The 20472-nt window shown below is 39.9% G+C and overlaps 1 protein-coding gene across 1 annotated transcript in view, besides 1 other annotated feature; it reads left to right on the top strand.

Moving 5' to 3' along the window:
- The window catches only part of F13A1 (coagulation factor XIII A chain), a 176579-nt gene that overhangs the window by 82807 nt on the left and 73300 nt on the right, over positions 1 to 20472 (top strand). The window contains exons 7-8 of the mRNA NM_000129.4: positions 12996 to 13170; positions 15685 to 15823. Coding sequence (NP_000120.2) covers positions 12996 to 13170; positions 15685 to 15823 — 314 coding nt within the window. The remainder of the gene's footprint in view (positions 1 to 12995; positions 13171 to 15684; positions 15824 to 20472) is intronic.
- Positions 18259 to 19458: an enhancer, noted in NCBI's record as "CDK7 strongly-dependent group 2 enhancer chr6:6218631-6219830 (GRCh37/hg19 assembly coordinates)". NCBI's record gives its function as "activates an origin of replication core promoter dependent on BRD2, BRD4, P300/CBP, MED14 and CDK7 cofactors, with strong dependence on CDK7, by STARR-seq in HCT116 cells {active_cell/tissue: HCT116}" and the evidence as "EXISTENCE:reporter gene assay evidence [ECO:0000049][PMID:35650434]".

Genomic DNA, 20472 nt, shown 5'->3' with positions numbered 1-20472 from the left:
ACATCCATTCATTCAACAGAACTTATTGAGTTCCCACTCTGTGCTAGCCCTGGGAATATAAAGTCAAAACAGCATAGTGCCTTCCTTCCTTCTGTGAACATAAAGTCTGGGAAAAGAACAAGGACAGTCTAACCAATGACACAATACAATGTGATAAATGGATAGTACTATGCAAAGAGTACTATGTGATCAAAGAGTAAGGACATCCAAATCAAGGTGATAAGTAAAGATTCCCAGGGTGAAACCAGCTGAGTTTTAAAGGATCAATAGGGCACCAGGTAAAGAAGAGGTTTGAGTGTGGATGGACATTCCAGGGAGCGAGAATAACATTTCCAGCAACAACAAGGCAGAAAACAGCTTGTTATTAAGCAAACCACTATGAAAAACCAAAGACATGGTAGATGATTTTCCTTTCCTTTCGACCAAGTATGTGACCCTGGCTGTTGTAAGTGCCATAAAAGCCCAGAAGAAAATCAAGGATGAAGAGCCAGGCAAGGGAAGAAATAGAATTGCTGCTACCCTATTTCTTTTTTCTTGTGCATTTTCTGGGATGCCTGCCCATGGAATAACCTGAGTACTTGACCTTCAGCTCATCTCCCTTCCTATCCTTACAACATAACTTGGCAAATGGCGGAGCAGGCACAAAAACAGATCTCTACATTCCCAGAACTGTGACCTTTTAAATTTTATTTTTTAGAACAATTTTTTCAAACAGCAATTGAATCCAAATACATAAAAGAGAAAAAGCAGAGCAGCTATTATTAAAGAAAGGTGGTGACTGCAGCCTTGACTATCAACATTCAATTCTCACCTGCCCCACCCCACAACACCGTAACTACTGAGTTTCTTTTGCAAAACCCTAGCATGTCATGAAGCACAATTTGACATCCACCACACCACTTCCACCTGTGATTAAGTCTGGTCACCACCACACTGTAGCTGGGGATTTGTGGTTCACAAAACCTGGAAACGATTTTCTACAGGAAATAATTCTTCTCCTTGCCAAACTTAACGCTAGGCCTTTGATGTTAGTTCGTGTTACCCAACATCAAAATTCATTTCCAATGGTCTTTGAGAAACCATTGTGGACAAAATTAGGTATAAGACTATTTTCTAAAAGAGTTATGGAAATCCTAGCCTTTATGAGGACATAACTTTTAACAATGAAATTTAACGGAATATGATAGGTTTATAACAGAGAAAAGTCATTTCATCATAGCCATATAAAATGCACACAGAGGAGAAAAGTACCCTTGCATATTTTTTTAAAAAGCAGAAAGAAATAGTAACTATACAAAATGTAAAGGTCTGCGCTACAGGAAATTGAAGAATCAAGAAATGTCACATTTCTTTATTTTTCAGTATCAAGTTAGAATCTGCTCATATTCCAATGACCAAAATTAAACAGAAGTCCAGTACGGGTCATGTTTTAGGGCTATTTCTATTCTTTGAATTATACAGGAGAAATAATTTTAAAATCATAGATAATATTATACTATAGATGCTGGTTTAATTTAAAAGTCTTCATTGATTTTCACAGCTTTATTGAGATATAGTTGACAATAAAATGTGCATACTTAATGTACAATTGGATAATGTTGACATGTATATGTACCCATGAAACGAACACTAAAATCAAAATAATGAATATATCCATTGCCCCCAGAAGTTTCCTTATTGTAATTTCTTCCTTAAACCACTCCCTGCTTTGTGTACCATCCCCCATCACTGCTCAGCCTTCTGTCATTATACATTGATTTGTGTTTTCTAGACTTTTACACAAATATAATCATGCAGTATGTACTCCTTGTGAGGCTTCTTTTATGCTTCCTTACTGTATTCTGAGCTTCATCCATGCTGTTTTTTGTTTCAGTAGTTCATTCCTCTTTATTGCTGAGTAGTAGTGTTTCATTGTATGGATGAATCACTATTTGCCCATGTATTTACTTGTGGATGGACATTTAGGCCATTTTCCGTTTTTGCCTCTTACAAATAAAGCCAGAAACTTTAGCTTGGAAGACTTTAGTAAAAGTCTTTGTATAGACGTAAGCTTTTATTTCTCTTAGGTAAATACCTAGGAGTGAGGTGGCTGGGTCATAAGCTAAACATAGGTTTAATTTTTAAGAAACTACCAAACTGTTTCCTAAATTGGATGGGCATTTTACATTCCCACCAGCAGCATATGAGAGTCTAAAGTGTTGCATATCCTCCCGGACACTTCATATGATCAGTCTTTTTAATCTTAGACTTTTAAATAGATGTCCAATGTTACCTTGCTGTGGTTTTGATTTGCATTTCCTTAATGGCTGATGATACTGAGCATCTTTTGTTGTGATTGGCCACCCACGTATTTTCTTTGATGGAATATCTGTTCCAATATTTTTCTCTTGTTTTAAGGTTGTGTTTGTTTTCTTACTATTGAGTTTCAAGGGTTCTTTACATATTCTGGATACAAGTTTTTTCTTTTTAATCAGATAAAGGATTTACAAATATCTTCTTCCACTCTAGTTTTATTTTTTCATTCTCTTCACAGGGCCTTTCAAAGAGCAAAGGTTCTTAATTTTTATGAAGTCTGATTTACAAATTTTTTTATGGATCATGCTTTTCATATTTTATCTAAGGAAACTGCCTAACCTAAGATCACACAATTTTCTCCTTTGCTTCCTTTTAGAAGTTTTATAACCCTAGGTTTTATATTTAGGTCTAAGGTTCATTTTGAGTTCATTTTTACATATGGTGCAAGGTATGAATCAAAGCTCGTATTTTTGCATATGAATATCCAATTGATGCCACCTCATTTTTTGAAATGATTATCCTTTATCCATAAAATTTCCTTTGCAACTTTATCACAAATTAGTTAACTGTATTTGTGTGAGTCTATTTCTGTGTTCTCTATTGTGTCACATTGATCTGTTTGTATTTATACCAAATGGTGTCATGCTACTTAATTTGAAAGTATTACATGTAATTGTACCCAAATTCTATTTAATTTTAAGTTTTATTGAATTTTACTTTAATAGGAAAGAAATTAAATTGCAACAGAAGAAATTATTAAACTTCAAATAAATATTTCTTCACTACAAGAGATATCATTTCTTAACAGGTTTTCCTAAGGTTATTAAAAATTATAAAAACCATTAAAAGAATAAAGTAATTATGTACTTTTAAATTATACTTTAATGTTAGATGGTATCAATTAACTGAGAGACCCACACACTAAAACATTACCATTTTCACTGTTCCTCTCCTCTTTCTCCTATCTTTTTTCTTAGGATGATTATTGTTTTTATATTATCAAGTCTTAAAATTCATCTGTAACTGTAAATCCCAAAGATGCTTAACTTATATAGAGTTTTCTCACCCCTGAATCTGTTATCACAGAGTCTCTGTTCCTGGGTTCTTTGTTTGACTCAGCCCCTAATTATTTTGATATCACTTTCAAGTATTAATAGTTTGGTTATGATAGGTACCATATTCCCTGAAGTACTTCATGTTCGACAATGTGTGTAAAAGGGGGCTGAATGCTTGATTTGATGCTCCACTTGGTCACTGTTGATGTAGAGAAGAGCTAATGATTTGTGTACATTAATCTTGTATCCAGAAACTTTGCTGAATTCTTTTATCAGTCCTAGGAGCTTTCTGGAGGAGTCCTTGGGGTTTTCAAGGTAAACAATCATATCGTCAGCAAACAGTGACAGTTTGACTTCCTCTTTACCTATTTGGATGTCCTTTATTTCTTTCTCTTAACTTATTGCTCTGGCTAGGACTTCCAGTACTATGTTGAAGAGGAGTGGTGACAGTGGGACTCCTTGTCTTATTCCAGTTCTCAGAGGAAATGGCTTTCAACATTTCCTCATTCAGTATTATGTTGGCTGTGGGTTTGTCATAGATGGCTTTTATTACATTAAGGTATGTCCCTTGTATGCTGATTTTGCTGAGAGTTTTAATGATAAAGCAATGTTGGATTTTGTTGAATGCTTTTTCTGAATCTATTGAGATGATCATGTGATTTTTGTTTTTAATTCTGTTTATATGGTGCATCACATTTATTGACTTGTGTATGTTAAACCATGTCCACATTCCTGTTATGAAACCCACTTGATCATGGCGGATTATCTTTTTGATATGTTGTTGGATTCAGTTAGCTAGTATTTTGTGAAAGATTTTAGCATCTGTGTTCATCAAGGATATTGGTCTGTAGTTTCCTTTTTTGGTTATATCCTTTCCTGGTTTTTGTATTAGGGTGATGCTGGCTTCATAGAATGAATTTGGGAGGGTTCCTTCTTTCTCTATCTTGTGGAATAGTGTCAAAAGGATTGGTAGCAATTCTTCCTTGAATGTCTGGTAGAATTCTCCTGTGAATCCGTCTGTTCCTGGACATTTTTTTGTTGATAAGTTTTTAATTACCATTTCAATCTCACTGCTTGTTATTGGTCTGTTCAGGATATCTAATTCTTCCTGACTTAAGCTAGGAGGGTTGTATTTTTCCAGGAATTTATCTGTCTTTTCTAGATTTTATAGTTTATGTGCATTAAGGTGTTCATAGTAGCCTTGAATGATCTTTTGTATTTCAGTGGTGTCAGTTGTAATATCTCCTGTTTCATTTCTTAGTGAGGTTATTTGGATTTTCTCTCTTTTTGGTTAATTTTGCTAATGATCTATCAATTTTATTTATCTTTTTAAATAACCAGCTTTTTGTTTCATTTATCTTTTGTATTTTTGTTTGTTTCAATTTTGTTTAGTTCTGCTCTGATCTTGGTTATTTCTTTTCTCCTGCTGGGTTAGGGTTTTGTTTGTTCTTGTTTCTCCAGTTCCTTGAGGTGTAACCTTAGAATGTCAGTTTGCGCTCCTTTGGTCTTTTTTCTGTAGGCCTTTAGGTCTATGAACTTTCCTCCTAGCACTGCCTTTGCTGTATCCCAGAGGCTTTGATAAGTTGTGTCATTATTGTCATTCAGTTCAAAGAATTTTTTAATTTTCATCTTGATTTTGTTTTTGACCCAATGCTCATTCAGGAGCAGGTTACTTAATTTCCATGTATTTGCATGGTTTTGAAGGTTTCTTTTAGAGTTGCTTTCCAGTTTTATTTCTGTGTGGTCTGAGAGATGGCTTGATATAATTCCAATTTTCTTACATTTATTGAAGCACATTTTATGGCTTATCATATGGTCTATCTTGGAGAAAGTTTTATGCACTGTTGATTAGAATGTGTGTTCTGTGGTTGTTGGATAAAATGTTCTGTATATATCTGTTAAGTCCATTTGTTCCAAGGTATAGTTTAAATCTATTGTTTCTTTGTTGACTTTCTGTCTTGATGACCTGTCTAGTGCTGTCAGTGGAGTACTGAAGTCCTCCACTACTATTGTCTTACTGTCTATCTCATTTCTTAGGTCTATTTGTTATTGTTTTATAAATTTGGGAACTTGAGTGTTCAGTGCACATTTGTTTAGGATTGTGATATTTTCCTGTTGGACAAGGCCTTTTACCATTATATAATGTCCCTCTTTGTCTCTTTTAACTGCTGTTGCTTTAAAGTTTGTTTTGTCTGATATAAGAATAGCTACCCCTGCTCGCTTTTGGTGTCCATTTGCATGAAATACCTTTTTCCACACCTTTACTTTAAGTTTATGTGAGTCCTTATGTGTTAGGTGAGTTTCCTGAAGGCAGCAGACAGTTGGTTGGTGAGTTCTTATCCATTCTTCAGTTCTGTATCTTTTAAATATAGCATTTAGGCCATTTACATTCAATGTTAGTGTTGAAATGTGAGGTACCATTACATTCATCATGCTCTTTGTTGCCTGTGTACTTTGGTTTTTTTGTTTTTTGTTTTTGCTTTTTAACTTGTATTTTTGTTTCATAGGTCCTGTGTGATTTATGCTTTAAAGAAGTTCTGTTTTGATGTGTTTCCAGGATTTGCTTCAAGATTTAGAGCTCCTTTTAGCAGTTCTTGTAGTGGTGGCTTGGTAATGGTGAATTATCTCAGCATTTGTTTGTCTGAAAAAGGCTGTATCTTTCTTTCATATATGATGCTTAGTTTCGCTGGATACAAAATTCTTGGCTGATAATTGTTTTGTTTGAAGAGGCTGAAGATAGGGTTCCAATCCCTTCTAGATTGTAGGGTTTCTGCTGAGAAATTTGCTGTTCATCTGATAGGTTTTCTTTTATAGGTTACCTGATGCTTCTGTCTCACAGCTCTTAAGATTCTTTTCTTTGTCTTAACTTTGGATAACCTAATGACAATGTGCCTAGGCAAAGATCTTTCTGCAATGAATTTCCTGGGTGTTGTTTGTGCTTCTTGTATTTGGATGTCTAGGTCTCTAGCAAGGCCGGGGAAGTATTCCTCAATTATTACCCCAAATACATTTTCCAAGCTTTCAGAATTCTCTTCTTCCTCAGGAACACCGATTATTCTTAGCTTTGGTCATTTAACATAATCCCAGACTTCTTGGTGGCTTTGTTCATATTTTCTTATTCCTTTTCCTTTGTCTTTTTGGACTGGGTTAATTCAAAGAACTTGTCTTTGAGCTCTGAATTTTTTTCTTCTACATGTTCAATTCTATTGCTGAGACTTTCCAGAGCATTTCGCATTCGTAAAAGTGTGTGCAAAGTTTCCTGAATTTTTGCTTGTTTTTTCTTTAAGCTATCTATTTCCTTGAATATTTCTCCCTTCACTTCTTGTATTATTCTTTGGATTTCCTTGCATTGGGCTTCACTTTTCTCTGGTCCCTCCCTGTTTGGCTTAATAACTAACCTCCTTAATTCTTTTTCAGGTAAATCAGGGATTTCTTCTTTGTTTGGATCCATTGCTGGTGAACTAGTGTGATTTTTGGGGGGTGTTGAAGAGCCTTGTTTTGTCATATTACAGTTCCTTCTCATCTGGGTAGGCTCTGTCAGAGGGAAGGTCTAGGGCTGAAGGCTGTTGTTCAGATTATTTTGTCCCATGGGATGTTCCCTTGATGTAGTACTCTCCCCCTTTTCCTATGGATGTGGCTTCCTGTGAGCCAAATTGCAGTGATTGTCTCTCTTCTGGGTCTACCCACCCAGCAAGTCTACCCAGCTCTGGAGTGACACTGGGCATTGTCTGCACAGAATCCTGTGATGTGAGCCATCTCTGGGTCCCTCTCAGCCACCGGAATAGCGCCTATTCCGGTGGAGGTGGCAGGGGGTACAATGGACACTGTTAGGGTTCTTAGCTTTGGTGTTTAATGCTCTATTTTTGTGCTGGTTGGCTCCCTGCCAGGAGGTGGTGCTTTCCAGAGAGCAGTAGCTGTGGTAGTATGGGGAGGAACCAGTGGTGGGCAGGGCCCCAGAACTCCCAAGATTATATGCCCTTTGTCTTCCACTAGCAGGGTAGGTAGGAAAGGACCATCAACTGGGGGCTGGGCTAGGCGTGTCTGAGGTCAGACTCTCCTTGGGCAGGTCTTGCTGCAGCTGCTGTGGGGGATGGGGGTGAGATTTCTAGGTCACTGGAGCTGTGTACCTAAGAGGATTATGGCTGCCTCTGCTGAGTCATGCAGGTTGTCAGGGAAGTTGGGGGAAGCTGGCAGTCACAGGAGTCACCCAGCTGCCATGCAAACCAAAGGGCCAGTCTCACTCCCACCGTGCCCCCCTCAACAGCCCTAAGTCCATTTCCAGGCAGAGGGCAAGATGGCCTTGAAAACCTGACCCGGTCTACCCACCTCCCAGCTGCAAAAGAAAAGGGTTTGGTTCTTCCACACCTGTGGAGTCTGCACACCGGATTTGCACCCTCCCCCAAGTTTTGGCCAGGAGGCTTCTCACCCCATTCAAATTGCTACAAAGTTCAGCTAGAGATTTCCTTCTCCATGTGGAGTTTTATCCTCTGCTCCTCTGTCCACCTTTCTGATGGATCTCTGTGGTGCCAGGCAGGGATGGCCTGCTAGGGGACCTAGCAAGCTCCCAGGGCCTTTCTGCTGCTTCCTCTACCCCTGTATTTCCCTCAGCTCTCCAAGTTGACCCAGCACCAGGTGAAGTCGGAAACTTCTCCCACAAACAGACCTTCAGCTTCTCCAGTGGAGGTTTGTGTTCGGGAGAGGAGGGTCTCCCTTTCCCACTTGCATAGTTGGGACACTCACAGTATTTGGGGGGGTCTCTCGGGTCCTGCAGAAGCAGTCTGCTTCCTTCAGAGAGTCTGTGGTCCTCTCAGGATTGCTGGTTTGTTCTTGCAGTCGACCTGGATCTAAAATTTACAGCACGAGCCTCCACATGCTGCTCTGTCCAGAGCTGCAATCCAGTCCTGCCTCCCATCCACCATGATGATCCAAATCCTTGGGTTCTCTATTTTAAGGACACTAATCATCCTTATGTTGTATCATCTTTGTTTTCCATAACTATGGTACTATTAGAATCTCTCTAAATAATTCATCACTTTGGTTTTTTATTAGTATTTTCTTTGATATCTCAAGTTTTCTTCTATGTCATTAATTTTTATTTTTAATAATATGTATTCTGTTTCTTGCAGTTTATAATTTATTATTAGCTCTGTAATGGTATGATTTGGTCCTCAATTTGTTGCCTTGGTCTGTGATCTCCTAAAAGGTTGTGAGAAAAATGACTTATGCTCCTTAATTTCGTTTTCTTCTATGTATATTTTTTCATGATCTCTCCCTCTCTCTCTTTCTGTCTCTTCCTCTGCATGCAGTTTCTTTTCCCTATATTTATGCTCAAACTTGCATCATTCTTGTCTCTAGACGTTCTATTTGCTGTAATAAATGAAATTCTTCTCAATCTAAGGTTAGTTTGATCTCACTTCTGAACTACAATTTGAGGCCAATGTACCACATTCTATCTACTCTTCAGTACTCTGCAAGAGATTGGAGTGAGGACTACAGTATTAGAAGATGAACAATCTTTGGTATCATGCTTAGGGTCTGCTCTTTCCCTTAAGATTCTCCTACATCTGTCACTCCAGAACCCACCCCCACAACTGGAGGCATATCTCAGTTCCATTGGGGGATACGCTCAGCTTGTATTATTTCCCAATTGTGTTCCAGAATCTCTACCTCTTTTAAGGTGCAGATACTTTTTCACTCGTTTCTCCACAGCAGGTGTTTCCACCATTCTGTTCAGAACAATAAAAAGATCAGCTTTTTTTTTTTTTTTTTTTTTTGAGACAGGATCTCACTCTGTTGCCCAGGCTGGAGTGCAGTGGTACAATCAGCTCACTGCAACCTCTGCCTCCCCGGTTCAAGCGATTCTCCTGCCTCAGCCTCCAGAGTAGCGGGGACTACAGGCATGTGCCACTATGCCCAGCTAGTTTTTGTATTTTTAGTAGAGATGGGGTTTCACCATGTTGGCCAGGCTGGTCTTGAATTCCTGACCTCAAGCAATCTATCTGCCTCATCCTCTCAAAGGGCTGGGATTACATGCCTGGCCAAAAAGATCAGCATTTTGATTATATTTATTACTTTCTAGAATTTAAAATATAAATTAGAAATCTCAGGTTTTTGTTGACTAGCTGGTAAGATGGTTAAGGTTAGGAGCTGAGCCATGTTGCCTCTCTGCTTTACTCCATAGTCCTCATGTTTTGTTGGGACCATGTTTTGAAGTTTATTGCATTATGCTGATAATGACTTTTAGGGGTTTTTGAAATTTTTTTCTAATTTTGTAGGTATTATGGGAGGGCAATTTAGTGTAGCCTTAATGAAGTTGAATAATGCCTCCTGTACGTAGTCCTGGACTTGTATTGTCTACTTGACCACCAGTGACTCAAGACCAAGACACTTTATTCTGCCACTGGTCAAACCCTGAGATCATGAGAGGGTGTTAAAACAGCCAACTGTGGCATGAAAAATGACAAACATGTCCTCCAAACATATCTTGTTGCTTATGAGGGGAGATATTATTTTAACCCTTTACATCTGTCACTAAAAACTTACCTCTTTCATGGCCTGAGCTCCCTAGAAATCAATGTTCTAATTAGAAAACAGTAGCTAATCTGCCCAAATGCTAATAAATGAGGGTTGTGATTTATCTAGCAACAGGGGAACAGCTCAGCATTAACAATTAAAAGGTCTGTAGAGGACAGAGCTTTTTTTCCTTACTCTTCCCCTTAGCTGATTGAGTTCAGCCCTATGCTATAAATAGCCCTTGTAATTAATGGCTATCTGTTTGAAAATCAGTTATCAGGACCACAGTTTAGGAGCCTTTACCTCTGAAATTCATAGAGCCTATTTTATGTCTCAGTGATAAGGGAATGATAATGTGAGTTCAAAGCTAAACCTACCTACCCACAAAGACCAAACCACATCATAGCCTACCAAGGCATTCTTCAATCTTCACGATAATGGATACAGATTTTTAAATAATCAATCCAACTGCAAGGAGAAGTACTGATCTTTAATATAGCCATAATGTTTGGCTAAAGCCTGCTGCACTCCAGTCATTTCATGACTCTATAAGCTAAAGTCAAAATTTATATCAAAGGCATGAGTTTGCAATTAGCTGAGCAAGGTCTTTTAGAGACCCCCAAAGAGTTCATTTTTTCCTACATTGAACAAATTAACTGTGTGGTTCATAAAGTTCTTCTTCACTTTAACCTGACTGGACACAGAGTTAAAGGGGGAAGATAGCATGTCTAAACCAAATTGAATAGTGATCTTCTAGACAACACTCCCCAGAAGGGACCCTCCTTGGGAAATACCACTCAGTGCTAGAGTAAATCTCAAATTTCAGTGAAGGCTTTGTCATTCACAGTAAAAGATGCTTGCACATCTTGCATGTTTTCTTCTAGTATTTTTTTTATTTCGTTCGGTATTGCCTACTTACATAATACCCATGCAGAGCTCCTAGAAGGTCCCAGAGCCTGCCATATTGTTTCATGACACTACACATTTATTAAAACTGTTTCCACTATGTAGATGGCCTTTTCTGGCCAGTTTGCCTGTCATCTCCCTCTATTAGGCCCCCCAGCATCACCACCACCACCCTCCAATCTAACTGATAACTCCCTTCCTCAGGTTCCCACTCTACCTCTACATTTTTCTGTCTTAATACCAGTAATCTTTACATCCACTTGATTGGTTTCTTGACCATCTCTCTCCAGGCATAAGGTCTTATTCTTACTCAAATATACATTTCCTATATGTTTGTTGACTATATAAGTGATTATTGAACAACTACAGAGCATCCAGTCTTTGCTAACACTTGGTAAAACTCAGAAAGACGGAGATTTTTTTTCTTTGTTCCCAATGAATTGATAAACCAGCGGGGAAGACAGACTTCTCTACAACTAGACACAGCAAGTCAAAAAGAGGGGTCTAGGCAGGTGATGAGGCTGAGTTGTTAGTTGGTGAGGCAGCAAACACATAAAAGCTCACCATGTTTTAATGTCTCTTCTGTGATTTTCATAATCAAAACACACATGCTTCAATCATATGTTTCACATTGCTTACTAATGTCTTTGCATTATAACTCAGACCTGTGCTTCTAAACGAATGTGCACACAAATCACCCAGTGATCTTGTTAAAATGCAAATTCTTATTCAAGAGTTCTGGGAGGGGCCTCAGATTCTGAATTCCTAACAAGCTCCCAGGGAATGCCAATATTGCTGATCCATGAATGCCTCAAGTAGCAAGGCTCCACACCATTGTAATGTCAATGTAAACATTGTTGAAATGGCACCAGTTTTTGGAAAAGCTCCTGGACTCCCCACCTAAACTCTTCTGACTGTAATTAAACATGATCAACGTTACACCAAGAGAGGTAGATTCAGCAGTGCCCAGAAAAAAACTGGCAAGATGCCTTGAAACTGTTACCTCTTGGCCTTTGTTTTACTATGTAAACACAAAAGGTCTTTGCTCCTGCACTTTAGGTCTGCTGCTACAAGATGAATGTAGTCTGAAGGTGTGGCAAGTTTTATCCAGATATTCAAGATTGCCTTTCTCTGCTAAAGTCTCTTCCATATTTAAACCATAACATCCCAGGTTCTTTATGGAAACAGAAATACCTTCTAAGAAAACTCTAAAACTTTAATCTGTTTAAACAATCATAAGAAAGAATACTTAAGTGAATTTTACAAAGGGAAAAAGAAGCTCTGGGCCAGGCATGGTGACTTATGCCTGTAATTCCAACTCTTTGGAAGGCTGAGGCAGGAGAATCACTTGAGCCCAGGAGGTCAAGACTAGCCTGGGCAACATAGGGAGACCCTGGCTCTACAAAAAAAATAAATTTAATTAGCCGAGCATACACCTGTAGTCCTAGCTACTCGGGAGCCTGAAGTGGGAGGATCACTTGAGCCTAAGAGTTCGAGGCTACAGTGAACCATGATCGTGCCACTGCATTCCAGCCTGTGTGACAGATCGAGACCTTATCTTAGAAAGAAAGAGAGAGAGAGAGAGAAAAGAAAAGAAAAAAGAAACAAAAACAAAAAACCTCTGTAAGCATCCCATGGGAATCTATTTTCTTAACTCTTAATGATTCCAAGACAACATCTGTTAACTTTTTCAATTCATTAGAGTCTACCACTCAAAATGACAACATCTGTTAACTTTTTCAAGTCGGTAGAGTCTACCACTCAAAATGAAAGTCAAAATCCATTAGACCACTAATTTCTCATTTGTGAGTTTTGAGTTATCTTTCCACCAAGACAAGTTCCCTACTTGAGATTTTATCTTTTGTAGGTCTTCTTCCTCTCTTCCCCACATCATTCTTGAGCACTAACCTAGCCCAAACCAAGTGTCCTATGTATGTCTTCTTCCAATCCGGTAGGTGTCACACTCCTCCTATCTGCCGTTCAACTTTGCCTTGCTATAATATGCGATTTAACAGGCAATCTTGGTTACTTGGTCTCCTCTTGCGTATTTAGTTTTTGCATCTTTTTTTTCTAACAATGTAATGGTAAACCGAACAGAAGTGGAACTCTTTTCACTGGGCACAACATATAGAAGGCAATGGCAGCCATAGCTTGCGCCATGCATAGCCTGGAGTAGACAAACCTAAATGAACTTTCTTCCTTCTCACTTCTCACGGACTCATTTAGGTGAATGCCAAAGATGACGAAGGTGTCCTCGTTGGATCCTGGGACAATATCTATGCCTATGGCGTCCCCCCATCGGCCTGGACTGGAAGCGTTGACATTCTATTGGAATACCGGAGCTCTGAGAATCCAGTCCGGTATGGCCAATGCTGGGTTTTTGCTGGTGTCTTTAACACATGTAAGTATCCAACTGAGTAATTTCTTTTTAATATAAAGGAAACTTCACTCTAAGACATTTTTTCTATAACCTAACAAAGAGACATAGCAGCCCCTGTTGACACTATAGAATTTATGGGTGAGCCATTCTGGGATGTAGTCAATGCATAATTAAATTGTAGTGGGCCAAATATGCTCATAGTTTCTCTTTGACTGCAGAATCTTTATAGAAAGAATGATAGACTATATCCTGTGTAATCCATCACTTAACACCCGAAGAAATAGAGGGTTACAGTAAAAATATAGAGAAAAAAGCCATTTTCTTTTCAGCCACCACATTTTAAAAAAACTAAAACAGTTAAAACTAAAATAATAAATAACAAAAGATATATATTGCTTATTTATCATTGAGAAGTTGTATAAATATGCGTATTTATTTATTATTGAGAATTTTATAAATATATACACTTAATTTTTATCCCAGTTATGGAAGGTATTATAGCAGGTGGTCTCATATTCATTTTTCCACATTTCTCAATGCCCCTGAGCAATTAGAGATCAGAACATAATGAACAATCTTTCCCTCTCCAGTTTCCCCTCTGGTTTTTAATCCACCCAACATCCAATCTGTAGAGGAAAGCATATGAGAACAGAATTATTCTCTTCAGTGTCATGCATCATTTTTCAGAGGCATTTGCCTCTCTAGACCCAGACGATATTACAATTAATTCAGTGAATATTTTTAAAAATACATTTATTTCAGTATGTCTTCATCACTGGTAATGATTTTCATTCACAAGTCATTTCTACAGCCTTGGAGAAACATTAAGCTCAAGTTGGGGTGTCCTTTCTGCCTGCTCATTAATAAAGAATTTTTACCTAGCTAACATTTTTTAAATCAAAAACAAAGGGAGGGGTTGGAGGCTGGAGGGAGGTCATTTAAAAAAATGATTACAAAACCTATTTGTTTTAGCTCAAAGTCTCAACAGTCTAAGACTTGGTGATCTAAATTTAAAAAAAAAAAGTCATGAGTTTTGTTTTGTTTTATTTTCCCATAGTATCAAACAGGATAAGATTATTTTCTTAGCCATTTAAATATAACCCAGGGAAGAAGGAATACATATTTCTTGGGAGCAATGAAAATCAAAAGTATAGTCCCCTAGAAGCACTGGTCTCTGAAGTTCCAGATAGAAGCCGGAACTTCATGGTAGGTTAAAGGTTGGAGGTCATCCCATCCCTCGAGGCTCCCAAACCAAGACAAGGTAAAAGATGCCCAACAGAGGCAACCACTCTTGTGAAATGATTTTAGAAGACAGAAAGGACCCAAGTTCTCCCCATGCCTACAATTTCACTATCCCAGTGTAATTCCTTCCGGCTCACAACAAGATAAAATAGTGAACACCTTACATCCGTTCGTGTCTTTGGCATAAAAAGGTTATCCAATCTATGCCTGAAAACAGGCTTTGGCGGTAAATCAAGAAAAGGCAGAAACACACAGTGGGGAAGTCACAACGAGAGTAAACCTGAAGATGGAAATTGGGGGAAGGAGGAACAGGTGCCCTAAAGTCAAGCCTCACTTTCTTGAAATTATGAGTAAGGCAGAGTCTTGACCAAGTCGTGTCTGGGATAATGTGAATTAGTGTTCAGCCAGAAACAGAATGAGAGTGGCAATCGTTTTATTGATAAGACCCTGGGTGAACAGGGCTGAAAATCAAGAAAGGAAAATGGGAACGGGAGGCCCGTGGCAGCTGCCACTGTTGTTTGGGGCATTAAGATCAAGTCCTTTAAGGAGGGGGACCCTTGAATCTCTACCAGACTCCAGTTTGGACTTCCAAGGTTGTTCTGTTGAAGGAGGTGGGTAGTCTTTGGTTAAAAATGCTAAACTATTCTGAAGGAGAAAATAAAAAGGCAAGCCAAGTCATTAATCTTAAAATTGTCAGCTGAATTATTTTCAATGAGCCCTGATGTCTGGTGTCCTGGGAGGCAGGGAGGGCATTTGGATTAAGTTTAATCAGTAGGTACATATGGCAAGAAAGGTATTCAGATAATTTGTTATCTATTAAAATGAACTAAAATGAATCTGTGGTGTCACCCACCAATGCATGTCACAGGAGCAAATTCTGGCCAAGACAGCAAATTCCACCAAGGACCTACTCTGTAAATTCCTAACTTCCTATTAGTGGGTTTTTAAAATTGTATTTTCGGGAACATAGTCCCATTCATGGGACTAAAATAATACTACGTTGATGATCAAACGCTTAGAAACGAAACAATTAGAACCCTGTTGGGATTCTACTCTAGTTGGCTTCACCTGACACCAGCTGCAATTCTGAAGGATCACACAGCAAGATTTCTCTCTACCGCCCCCATGGGGTTGAATGACCACCCTTTTCCAGCATGGAACATTTGAGAATAACATGTCCAAAGGGCTTTTCATGTTGGGTCAGGAAGAAAGTCCCCTACAAGAAGGGTTTTTTCACTCTGTGTTTATTAAATGCTGGTGATGTGTTTAGCTGTGGTCTGTCCTTTCCTGTAGTTTTACGATGCCTTGGAATACCAGCAAGAATTGTTACCAATTATTTCTCTGCCCATGATAATGATGCCAATTTGCAAATGGACATCTTCCTGGAAGAAGATGGGAACGTGAATTCCAAACTCACCAAGGATTCAGTGTGGTGAGTTTGATTGACAATGGCATTGGCTGATGTCACATTATAGTAATGTTACACATTTACCACAAGATAGACTCAATCTGATGTTTCTGTTCTATTTTGAGGACCATTCAACAGCACAGGCAGAAAACTCTGATTGTCAAAGAATGTTCTAGCAAATGATTAGAAATGTTACTGAAGAGACAGTTTGGGTTCCTAGTGATAAAAATCAATCATTCCTTATAATAGCAACCACCAAAAAAAGGTCATAGTTTTAGCTGCTGCATATGCCTATACTAGTTCCTCTCTACCTTGATATATTAATATTACAGTTAATAGCAGAAGTATTGGAGCCAAGCGTTCTCTGGGTCAGTGCCCTGGGACTAATAGAGCTAACATTTATTTAGTATTTACTATGCATCGGTCTTGGTGTATGCATGATCTTATCCAGTTCTTTTTAGTTGTATCAGGTGGATGTTATTAATATCGCCATTTACAAATGAGGAAACTGAGGCCCAAAAAGGCTTGCTCACGGTCATACATCTGTTGAGCTGGGAATAAACCCAAATGCTTCTGACCATTAACCACAACCTTTTAAATGACTTCAGCAGTATAGGTTTTCTTTTCGAATGTAAAGATGAGATTCTCCTTGATTATATTGTCACCTTTCATTGAGATATAGAAATGGGAGTAAAGCTGAAATTGTTCCCCAAAACCAGCTGTGGGGTTCTCTCACTGCCCTGAACAGCTTTGTTACAAGCTGGCTAGAGGGAACTTAAGATCCCAGGGAAATTCCATTTTTCCTTGAGACCCCCTAAGTCCAAATCAATACACTAAGAAGAAACGAAAAAAATCCTAAGAGTTTAAGTAGGAAGAATTTTTATCAAGGTCTGTGTGGGAGGAAATTGGGGCATAAGTTCCTCTGTGGTCAGGCATTGAGCTAGGTAGAACTTCTAAGCCAAAAATGAGTCTCATGCACAAATAATAAAGCTAAAACACTTTCTGTTATACAAGCATCCAAATGGGGATGGTAGGAAGTTACAAGTTCATTTTAAGCAAAACTAAAAGTTAGAAGTGCCTGAACTTCATGTTACAGGAATGGATCACAGTTGTAGCAGCAGTATTAACTCACCAGTAGGGGCACACATTCATTGGAGAATGTTGAAATGAAATTGCTGAATGAGTAGCAAAGTGCTACCATGAATTAAAAATAGTTCGGTTCATTGGAAGGGAATGAGCTGAGCCATAGTAAGCTGGAGGGCACGTGTAAGACAAAACCTTGTCTCTGTAAATTGAACAGAAATTTAAAGAACACTTTAAGCCTGCAGAATTATAATATAGCAGCCCTGCATGTATATGGGATGACAAAACAGACCAAAATAGTCACCCCAAAAACTCATTGCAATTGTTAAAAATGACAAAAAGATAGTTATTTGGCATTCTCCATATCTCTTCCTTAAAAACACACAGACACACACACACACACACAGACAGACACACAGACACACACACACAGCCTTTGTAGCTAAGTGCAGTTCAAAGTTATCTTTCCCAGCTCCTTGATTCAGGTACCTCCCATCATCAAATAAGTCCCTATGAGGCACTCCTACAAATAACCCCACAGGCCCTAAACAGAGTTAATACAAAATAGCGAAGGTAGATCTTGCCCTTGGTAACCCTGTCCTCATTCAGGTCCCTGCTCCAAATTACTTCCCCTTTTCCTGACACCATTTGTTCCTTTGGTGCCTTACTCAAATATCCCATCACCCTGAGACTGTTCTTCCTGGCCTGGGACCCTCACCCACCCTCCACTGCAGACCACTGCCCGAGACTCCTCTTCCCTTCCTTTGCCTGGCTTGTAGTAGGTTTTCAACGCATGATGCCTGATCAGATGCTCTGACTGACTGCGGGGCTGAGACCAGCACAACTCAGGACGTGCCCAGACCATGAAGCACAGGGATTAAAGGGCTCAGTGGGATCTGAGGCCAAGACTTGGCTCTGCTACTGCCCAAGCTGTGTGACTTTGGGCAAGGCACAACCTCTCTGTGCCTCTTTTCTCCTCTAAAGTGGAGAGAACAATATTCCCTGCTTCACTCATCACAGAGCCGAGCATAACAGGTGCCTAATGAACGTTAGCTGCTATTATTGCCTTCATTATTAGTCACACAGCTGGAATTTCTTAGAGGCAATATGTTTCCATCAACCCAAGTACATCAAAGCGGTCAGAAAAAGAGGGATGCCCAGTGTCCTAAGATGACTGTGCTATTTCTGTTACTTTGGGGTATTTTTAAAGAAAAAGCAGACACTTGGCCTCACCAGTGCAAACACCCATGCACCTTAGAAGTTATAGGTGGTCCAGGAAAACAAGAGTATGGCTAAGACTCTCCTGGATTGAGGAGGTTAGTGCGGGCTGTCCCCAGACAGATCAGCCAGTGCATGATCACCACAGCCACACTCCTATGTCAAGCTCTGGCTTGGGCAGCTACTTGCTGTGTGGCTTTGAGAAAATGACTTCACCTCTCTGAGCTTCATTTTCTTCATCAGTAGAATGAAAGTAATCTTAGTAGTTACCATTTCCCGATGGAGTGACTATAATGATTAAATCAGGTCATCCAGGTAGAGTGCTTACCATAGAGGTAGGCCTGATGCTGATTTAATTATTATTGGTCACTGGTAAGAAGCAGGGGCTGCCTGAGCATAGGGCTGGTGAGGAAGGGTGAGGGTGAGGGTGAGGGTGGAGGCTAAACAGGGGCTGAGGTGGGGGTGGGAATGATTTGCTGGGCATCAGCTGACCTCTGTGAGGTCAGTGCGGTGTAGACTGGCGACACATGGCCTGATGGATTTCCTAGCAAGGATCTCAGGAGCTATTGGCCTCATACTTACCTCCCTCCACAGGCTCTGGTCAAACACACCCACCTCAACCTGTCTTCCCCGCTCCTGGTTGGTTTGTGGCTGGGGCCCCTCTCCTCTCCAAGTAAAGGAGACCTGAGAACAATCTCTCATCCTCCACCATCTATTTCTTCTTCAACACTCAGGTCCCAATGGTCCACAGTTTGTGATGAATCAGTTTGTCCAGTTAGGTCTCAGTGACTCAGGGTGTCCTCTTCTCCATGACTCAGCCAAATCCCAGCCTGCCGAAACCAGAAATCAGCCAGCAGGGAGGCTCAGAGGAAAAGTACAAGAGGGTGTGAGAGGTGTATTCTGCTCGCCACACTCCAGAGCCAGGAGTGACAAGTTTGGCTCTGTCTCTTGCTGTGACCCTTCTCGCCTTACTACTGCAGACCATCAAGGACAGACTGCTTCCTGGTTTGCCACCGTAGGTCCCCTGCATGAAGGATGTTTCCTTCCAAGAGGGAGCCTCACCTCAGGGGGGCTACAGTTTTGCACAGAGCGGCCCCACTGTTGACGCCAACAGAGGCCATGGTCTGAGCTCCTTAGCTGTTCAGGAGAGGGCTGGGGACTCAGGAACCTCAGAAGGGCAGAGCAGGGCAGAGTAATTAGATCCCAGGGTAGCAAATGAAACCCCAAGTGGGCAAATGCAAAGTAGCAGATCCCAGAAGGAGCAATTTCGGCCGCCTGTCCCCAGCGTGCTGATGAGTTCTGAATTATGTGTAACCTCTGGGGGGAAGGCAGCTATGAATCACTGGACAGTTTAATGAAGACGCTTGCTCAATGTTTAGCTGCAGTCCAAACAGCAAATAGAATACGAGGGCTCAGTGAGGAGGGAGTCAGGGCTACTCAGAGGGGCAGGGGGACAGCAATGGTTTGGCCTCACCTTGGAAGAGCTCAGCTTGATCACCTCATTATACAAAGGTCACAGTCAAAATGGAAACAATTTTAAAAGACAGAGACGTTGGCACTTACTAGGATCAAGAAAGATTTTTCAATGAAAGGCTTCGCTCCTTCTAAATGAAGAAGCCTCCCTGTGTTCTTTTGCTGGAGAGAGTGTGGTCTGATAGGATGATTCTGGGTGAGGGTTGGTGTCCTCCTCTCAGCTTTTCCCCACCGGAATGCACCCACCCACAGGGGGAGCAGTGTCTGATCTATTTTATTTTTGTTGTTTTGTCAGCATGTAACAGTGTGCAGGGCATAGAGCAAGCACTGAATAAACAGAATTGCTTGGAAAAAATTTTTAATGCATAAAAACTCCATGCTGCAATGGGTGGTCTTAATCTATAAACAAACCTTTTTCAAAGCACATTTTAGAGCAGAAATTAACCAGCTTTCACACCTGGGACACTGCCCTAATCAGTGTATAATCCTAATTCTCATTATGTCCTCAGTACTCATATGGTGTTTCACACATTGTAGGTGCATTTTTGAAATTGAGATTGTTCTTCTATACATTATTTTATTTTTATTTTTATTTATTTTTATTATTATACTTTAAGTTTTAGGGTACATGTGCACAACGTGCAGGTTAGTAACATATGTATACATGTGCCATGCTGGTGCGCTGCACCCACTAACTCGTCATCCAGCATTAGGTATATCTCCCAGTGCTATCCCTCCCCCCTCCCCCCACCCCACAACAGGCCGCAGAGTGTTATGTTCCCCTTCCTGTGTCCATATGTTCTCATTGTTCAATTCCCACCTATGAGTGAGAATATGCGGTGTTTGGTTTTTTGTTCTTGTGATAGTTTACTGAGAATGATGATTTCCAATTTCATCCA

This window comes from Homo sapiens, chromosome 6 (assembly GCF_000001405.40).
Source record: "Homo sapiens chromosome 6, GRCh38.p14 Primary Assembly".
NCBI classification, from domain to species: Eukaryota; Metazoa; Chordata; class Mammalia; order Primates; family Hominidae; genus Homo; species Homo sapiens.
The sequence above is the reverse complement of the archived record's forward strand: the minus strand, read 5'-3'. Positions and strand labels throughout refer to the sequence as shown.